Source organism: Homo sapiens, chromosome 14 (assembly GCF_000001405.40).
Source record: "Homo sapiens chromosome 14, GRCh38.p14 Primary Assembly".
Lineage (NCBI taxonomy): Eukaryota > Metazoa > Chordata > Mammalia > Primates > Hominidae > Homo > Homo sapiens.
In genome coordinates this window covers 101,923,677-101,931,425 of record NC_000014.9, presented here as the reverse complement: position 1 = coordinate 101,931,425, position 7,749 = coordinate 101,923,677, and the positions used below count along the sequence as shown (strand labels likewise).

General features: G+C 44.3%; 1 protein-coding gene across 28 annotated transcripts in view, besides 2 other annotated features; it reads right to left on the bottom strand.

Moving 5' to 3' along the window:
• Positions 2,336–2,836: an enhancer, noted in NCBI's record as "H3K4me1 hESC enhancer chr14:102394927-102395427 (GRCh37/hg19 assembly coordinates)". NCBI's record gives its function as "activates a minimal SCP1, AML or CMV promoter by ChIP-STARR-seq in naive H9 embryonic stem cells {active_cell/tissue: H9 hESC(naive)}" and the evidence as "EXISTENCE:reporter gene assay evidence [ECO:0000049][PMID:30033119]".
• Positions 2,837–3,337: an enhancer, noted in NCBI's record as "H3K4me1 hESC enhancer chr14:102394426-102394926 (GRCh37/hg19 assembly coordinates)". NCBI's record gives its function as "activates a minimal SCP1, AML or CMV promoter by ChIP-STARR-seq in naive H9 embryonic stem cells {active_cell/tissue: H9 hESC(naive)}" and the evidence as "EXISTENCE:reporter gene assay evidence [ECO:0000049][PMID:30033119]".
• The window catches only part of PPP2R5C (protein phosphatase 2 regulatory subunit B'gamma), a 167,420-nt gene continuing 163,104 nt past the window's right edge, over positions 3,434–7,749 (bottom strand). For 20 of the 28 annotated variants that reach the window (XM_005267819.2, XM_005267824.2, XM_005267827.2 and 17 more), the window contains one exon: positions 3,434–6,285. In XM_005267819.2, coding sequence (XP_005267876.1) covers positions 6,154–6,285 — 132 coding nt within the window. In that variant the 3' untranslated portion in view covers positions 3,434–6,153. The remainder of the gene's footprint in view (positions 6,286–7,749) is intronic. The other 8 variants (NM_001352914.2, NM_001352913.2, NM_001161726.2 and 5 more) reach the window with 1 other exon arrangement.

Sequence of the window (7,749 nt, the reverse complement as noted above, 5' to 3'; positions counted from 1 at the left end):
ATGTGGCCCCTGCCCCCACCCCCACCCCCAAGTTCTGTGGAATTTACATCATGCTTTTCATACGAAGCAGAAAGTCTTATGAGAGTAGGGGGCACTTGGCTTCCAGTCAGTTTGGGCCCATCTCTGCACCTCTAGGTCTATTCCTGTCTCTAAAAAAGGAACTGAATTAAGCTTAGTACATTTCAAACTTTTTGACAGTAGAATCCATTTTTTTTCCTCCAAATGAAATCTTATATAAAACTACATGTTAAATAAGAGCTGAATTTTTGATAATTTTATAGGTTCACATTAGTAATATAATGAGAACAGAGGCTAATGTGTTGGTGGTCTCCAAATATGCTGAAATTTAGCACGTTTGTTTAAAAAAATGCTGACGTTTTATAAAATCTAAACTTACCTAAAAACAAAAGCCTCAGGCTGGACGTGGTGGCTCACACCTGTAATCCCAGCACTTTGGGAGGCTGAGGCACGAGGATCACGGGGTCATAAGTTGGAGACCAGCCTGGCCAACATGGCGAAACCCCACCTCTACTAAATGTACAAAAATCAGCTGGGTGTGGTGGCACAGGCCTGTAATCTCAGCTCCCTGGTACGCTGAGACAGGAGAATCACTTGAACCTGGGAGGCGGAGGTTGTGAGGAGTCAAGATCGCGCCACTGCACTCCAGCCTGGGAAACCGAGTGAGACTCCGTTTCAAAAAAAAAAAAAAAGTTTTATAAAATCTAAACTTACATAAAAACAAAAGCCTCAGGCTGGGCGTGGTGGCTCACGCCTGTAATCCCAGCACTTTGGGAGGCCAAGGCGGGCAGATCACCTGAGGTCAGGAGTTTGAGACCAGCCTGGCCAACATGGTGAAACCCCGTCTCTACTAAAAATATAAAATTAGCTGAGTGTGGTGGTGGGCGCCCGTAATCCCAGCTAGTCCGGAGGCCGAGGCAGGAGAACTGCTTAAACCCAGGAGGCAGAGGTTGCAATGAGCTGAGGTCGCGCCATTGCACTCCAGCCTGGGCGACACAGTGAGACTCTGTCTCAAAAACAAAACAAGACGAAACAAAACAAAAAAACAATAGCCTCCGAGGAACGGGAGCCACTGGACTGGAATCAAGCTCTTCTGGTTCTGGGGTCAAGTGCACCATCAGAGCCCACAGCTGTCACAGCTATCCCTTGACACTGTCTCTATAGGGGCTGCTTCCCCAATGCAACATCGGGGCTGAGCATGGGCTCCGGGCGGCCCTGGGTGTCTCCATGGGGCAATGGTCATGAAGGACAGACCCTGGGGCCCATGACCGTGGTCACCCCTCGACCTTGCAGGGCCCGGGGTTCTCCTGTGTCAAGTGGTGGTGAATGCAGATGCAAGGGTTTCACCTGGAGTTCAGGATAAGAAGGAAACACTTTTTACCTGAGGAAGGTGAGCCCCCTTTCAGCGATCAGGCCCAGAGGCACTGGAATGAGACAGCAGCCACGCCCCACTCCCCCTCCTGCCTTGGGAGATCGTCTCCTGAAACCTGCTGTGTGGGTTCCAGACTGGTACCAATAGCTACGCCATGTAGCTAAAAATGCCACGTTGGACACGGTAACTCGTGGCCTGTAGTTCAACAATGTATAGCCAATCATTCACCAAGTGTTTCTGTCAACCTATGAGAACTAACCAAGTGTTTCTGTCAACCAATGAGAACTCCTGAAAAACAACTTGAGTAATTGCCCCTTTCCTGATCCGTCCTTTTTCCTTTAAATGCAGAAGCCTCTCTTTTTCTCCCCCAGAGCATTTCTCAAGGCAACTTGGAAGTGTTTCCTAGGCCGCAGCTCTCAACCTTGGCCCAAATAAGCTCTCTCCCTGTATTTTCTTTTTGAGACAAGGTGTTGCTCTGTCGCCCAGGCTGGCATGCAGTAGTGAGATGACGGCTCACTGCAGTCTCAACCTGTTGGGCTCAAGTGATCCTCCCACCTCAGCCTCCTGAGTAGCTGGGATTGCCGACATGAGCCGTGGGGCCTGGCCTCTCCCTATATTAATTTGTCTCAGTTTCTTCCTTTAGGTTGACAATACCGTAACTTCACACTGTCCACCTGGGTGTGTTCCTTATGGCCTGGCGTGGTGCTGCGGGCATGTCCCCAGGCCCTCACCTGTGTTCACCGTCACCCATGATGCTGCCCATCTAGAAGGCATTTCCACCATGTAACATGACGGTCGGGGCTTGGACCCCAGGCCACACTGCTTGGGTCGAAACCTGGCTCCACTCAATATTTGTGTGACCTCGGTCAAGTGACTTCACCTTTGTGTGCCTCAGTTTCCTCATTTGTGAATGAGGATAATAGTAGTAAATTATTTGGTGGGTTGTGAGAACTAAGTAAATTAACCCAGGGAAATGAGGCACCCACCACAGCTCCTGGCATAAAGGCAGTGCTAAGAAATATGAGTTCTCCTTGTCATTACTGCTGATGGGTGCTGCCAACCCTCACGGAAGGAGACACGAAGCCAGTACAGTTTTGCCTTTATGCTTCTTGCTACCCCAAAATAGCAGCAGCATGCAGCTGGGCTGAAATCGCAGCATGCCTCTGTGAGTGAGTCCTCTCGAACTCTCGTGCTGTAGGAAGTTACTAAACACCAGGTTTCCTCCAATTTTAAGATGAGGGATAAGGACCGCAGCGGGCGAGCATCTAGTCTGCGGAAACATCGACGTGAGTAGCGGTGCAGGATGTGAAGTCTTCTGGCTGGCGAGTCCACTTTTAGGTGGAAGTGGGGCATGTGCGGTTCTTCGAAACAGCCAGCAAAGTTACCGGACCCTTGGGCGAAGGCCACACTCTGCCTGGGTCTCAGCCTCGTCCACGTGCCCCCAGCTGCAGAGTGACGGCGTCTGCACCTCTGTCAGTGCGAAGGGAGCACAGACGCCACTGGGTAGAGAAGGAAGCTAAGCACAGAGCTTGCCCTCCCACGCCAGCCGGCGTGCTGACCACACGCAGCTATGGAGAGGTGAGGTTATAACCACGACACGAGCAGATAACACTTTAGTCCTGTTTCCATGGGCTTCTCGCAAGAGCATCAGCGAGGATAATGATCTCTCCACTGAGGAGGAGGTGGGCGAACTAGGATCCTAAATTCATACTTTCAGCAATTCCCTATTTTCAAGACTTTCATTTCTATAAATTGTATTGATTCACCTTTTCTTACTCAAAAAAAGCCCCAAAACCCAAACCAAACCAAGAGGCGGTCTATAAAAAGTCACACTGCCTTTTCCACTAAGTAAGTAAAAAAATCAGTGGATAGACTTAGCTTTGAACAGCTGTGGCTAGCATCTGGCGCAGCCAGCGCTCCAGGCGGGCTGGATGGAGATGGCCAGCCCCTCTGCAGTCAGCGTCCCTGTGTGTGGGCGGCCCTGACCTAACGGGAACCCGATAACGTCAGAGCCAGCTTGCTCAACACCATGGCTAAATTTAGTTTCATGATGAGCAATAAAATTCACATGTTCTTTATTTAGTCCATATGATACACCGTTTTTTAGAGTTTTTGAAAATTAGATAAAAGAGCATATTAAATGGCAAGTGTATGAAGTTTCTCTTCATAAACAATGTCAAAACAAAAAGTTTTGAATTACAAAATGTTAAAAAATATGTCGGTACTTAACATTTCACTAATGCATAAAGTTACAGATATTTTCTAAAGAAAAATAATTGTGCCACTTACCTATATTTGCTGTTTCTATGAACTTTTTTATTCTGTACATAGGACATTTTGTACAAAATATGAAGTCTACATTTTTATTACTTATTACCATAAAACAAAGATACAATGTATGTACAATATTAAAAGGAAGCCATACTAAAGCCACACTAAAAAGACACTTGGAATAGTGACATTTCTGATGTACAGATACATTTTGGAAAGAGTGAAGATGCCAAACGCAGAACTTTATGAAGAAAAACAGTCACCGGTTTATTTTCAATGTAGTACTTTTGAAATCAGTTTGGTACAGAATAAACAGTCTCTATACAATGATATGTAAGCTGACAATTAGCACAGGAGTCCGAGTACTAACTAGGGAAACTTTAGGAGGCCAAAATATTAAGTAATACTCTTGCCAAAGAAAATTAGTTTCTCTGAAAACTTTTATTTTTCTTTTTGGTGAGTGTTTGTCTTCAATAAAGAGCAGAAAGAAAACCTAGACAAAAAGATGTTCTTACACACTGAGCTTTACACAGTCACCCAAACATTGATATTTTGCTTTTTCCCGAGGGCAAAAAGAGAGTCTTCCCAGAAACCTCTCTCACAAACATACTGAACATCCAAAATCAAGGATATTTGAGAATCTATCAGCTAAAGACGGAAGTTCAAACAATGGTATATCAAAATACATAAGACGCTGCTTTATACAATAAAAAGCACCCTTTTTCCCTCAAAAGGAGAAGGCATCTAAACTGTTTTTTTTAATGATAGTTTTCATAATGGTAAAATGGAGAGATACTTGTCAAGTTTCTCAGGAAGTATTCATCTCACAAAGCGGACTTGTCCACTTTTAGCTGGGGCAATCTTCGCATTTCATACCTGCACTTGCTCTTACCACAAGAAGTCCCCTCCCCCCAGGTGATTTTCCTCCAAGACACGAGGACAGAAGCATTGCCAGTGGCTTGAAGTGACAGCAGTGGGCAGGAGGTACCAGAGCTGCACAAGGAGCAGTGTCTGCTTCTCACTATCTTTGAAAGGATACCCGAGACCTCGATGAAAAAACAGATCCTAAAATAAGCCACATTTTGTCTTTTATGCCTCAAGACACTTAACATTAAGTTATATAATCTTATGCCAGAGATGAAAGAAACTAGATCACGTGTTTAGAATAGCAGTACACATCTCAAGTAGCTTTCAAGCAGGATAAATAAGTCAAAATACTGGCCACCCTGAGAGAAATAAAGAATAGACAAAGCACTAAGTTTAAAGATTTTTCTCCTTGTGCTATTCCATCTAAAACAAAAGCTCAGTACATGCAAGGAACTCTGTGGAATATATAGCAGCATGTGAAGACCGATGAAAACTCAGACACTGTATTTTCCTTACAAGGTGTTGATAACGTGAGCTCTTTTCAACAGAAAGAGCTCCACTAAACGTCATCCTCGCTGGTGCCTCCTCCAAGCTCTCAGAACAGCACTGCAGCCTTCAGTGAAGGCAGCGGCAGTGCCGGCCCCGTGCAATGCTGTTGTGTTACTTTATGCTTAAAGGCGCTGCAGTTTGCATTAGGCTAAGAACTGGCTTAACTCAAAATGATTTTGCTCTAACTTTCCATAAAATGTGGAATTCTTAGAGACTATAATTTTATTAATTCAAGAGCCTTGTTGAAGGGCAACAATGTTTAAGTTGACGGAAACGAAATCTGCAAATAAAAATATTAACACATAATTTTAAAACTCCAATTTCTGTCAAGGTAGACAGAGCAAGCTCTTTTAAGATAAATTTCAGAGCAATCTCTTTTAAAATAAATCTCTTCTACAGGCTTACTCCTGGAATCCTGGAGTACCACAGACTTGGAAATATGGCTTTAGGTACACACAAGAGAAGGAGACACGGTGTTCATGTCACTCATCAAAGTGAAGAGACCCCTTAGAAAATACCAGCGGCTGAGGATTGTCATTTGCCCAGTACGTTGCGTGAGAACTCGAAAGCAAAGAGCCATTTCACTGAGATTGAAAAACAAACAAAACGAGAACTGCTGGCGTAACAATCACGTGGAAACCATTTCAAAGGCTGTAAAGTCTTAAAAAATAGGTCCTATTTTTTAAAGCGTTCCTTTGATTTGGAAAACACTGATGTTATCACAGAACCACCTATGTTAAAAGATCCTAAGTTCCATTTGGGAGAACATGAAGATGAAGGGCAGGGTGCTTTCCTATCGCTCTGACTTTGTGAAATAGTCTGACTTGGACTACGCTGGGGTGGCGGCGACACTGCGAGGACACCGTCGTCAACCCGCGGCTCTGCCAGCGGGCTCTGGGAAGTCACCATTGTTTGAACTCCTAATCTCGCGCTGAGGCGGACGCACGTTATTGCCTACGGAACGGGGTCCAAGAAAGCTTTGAGTGTAACTGATTGGTATGGCACAGGAAGTATGTATTTTCTACAGAATCCGGAAAAGAACTGGCGGGCCCGGCCCCGACGCGGCGCCCCGGAGGCTAGCGGCCGTCCTGGGAGGCCAGCTCATCGGCCCTGCAGTGAGCTTCCAAGGCTTTCTTGGTGTGGGGGTCCTGAGGCAGCTCGGACTTGCGGCGTGCAAGAGGACGGTCCTTCTTCGGATCTTTCTGTGCCTGGAATTAGAAATGCAATGGCGTTGGCTACAAACTAAGCTATCTGAAAAGCAAGCTTACTTCTGAGGTGGAAGTCAAAGGATAACCGCGAGGCACGTGTGCCTCACCCACTCGCTGGCGGCACCCTGGCCACAGGGAAACGGCGTAGGTCTTATCATGGAAATTTGCCAAAAATGTCTTGCTACTAAAAATCGTGACTCGTTTGAGGACCTGTGTGTTCAATACTGGCATTCTGGTCTTCTGAAATGTGCAGTGCTTGTACAAAGGACTCAGTACCTCTAATTTGCAGAATTCATGCATTTTAGTAAATTTCCTAAGTAACCTCCTATTTCATAAATGTCATTAAAGCCATTTCATGGGCATGTCCCCTACAGAAGCATTTCAAGAAGCAGAAATTTCTGGCTGGGTGCGGTGGCTCATGCCTGTAATCCCAGCACTTTGGGAGGCCGAGGCGGACGGATCACGAGGTCAAGAGGTCAAGATCAGCCTGACCAACATAGTGAAACCCCGTCTCTACTAAAAATACAAAAATCAGATGGGTGTAGTGGCGCGCGCCTGTAATCCCAGCTACTTGAAAGGCTGGGGCAGGAGAATCGCTTGAACCCGTGAGGTGGAGGTTGCAGTGAGCCGAGATTGCACCACTGCAGTCCAGCCTGGGTGACAGGGCCTCCAGACTCCATCTCAAAAAAAAAAAAGATGTAGAAATTTCCTTGGAGGTAAAGAAAAAGAATGAATAAAAAACATATTTAAATTGGATTTCAAACTTCTATCAAATTGAAAAAAATATATACTCTCTTCTCCAATCCATTGTCTTTCTAAAGTCTAGGAAATTTTGGTTTCACTTAAAAAAAAATTAAGTGAATCCCATTTTTGCATGAGGATTTGGATAACTGTATCTGCAATAAAAGGGAAACTTAATTTGGAGAGTTTACATATCAAAAGCATCCATTTCCATGAATAAACACATAATTCAGTTTAAAAGTAGAGACACTGTGTTAATACCAATATTCTGAAACAAAACAATAAACCATCTAAATCACCCAAACATGATGTATATGCCAGAAGACTGACTGCCAATTAGTTAGAAACTTTTCTGGATAAAGTTTCTTCACCAAAATTAAGTCTTCCTTTTTGTTCAGTGTATTGAAAAAGACTAAGTTACTTTTGTGGTATGTCTAGCAGACAAAATTTAAGTCAGTCTTTTGACAACAAAAAGAACGTAAGCGTAAAAACGCCTTACAAATTCCAGATGTCTGATTTTGACATGGATGTAAAATACATTTTCCTTCGCTTTAATGAAAAATTCAAGGACCTGCAGAAGTCCTGAATGTAAAGTTCAAATTTTTGCTAAGTGTTTCTCAGCAGGGTTCTTTGCAAATTTACCGATGAAAACAGCAATAATGTCAAGGTTTAAAAAGAATTTTGTCACATCACTTTAGGATTATTTCTAGAAATGTTATTTGA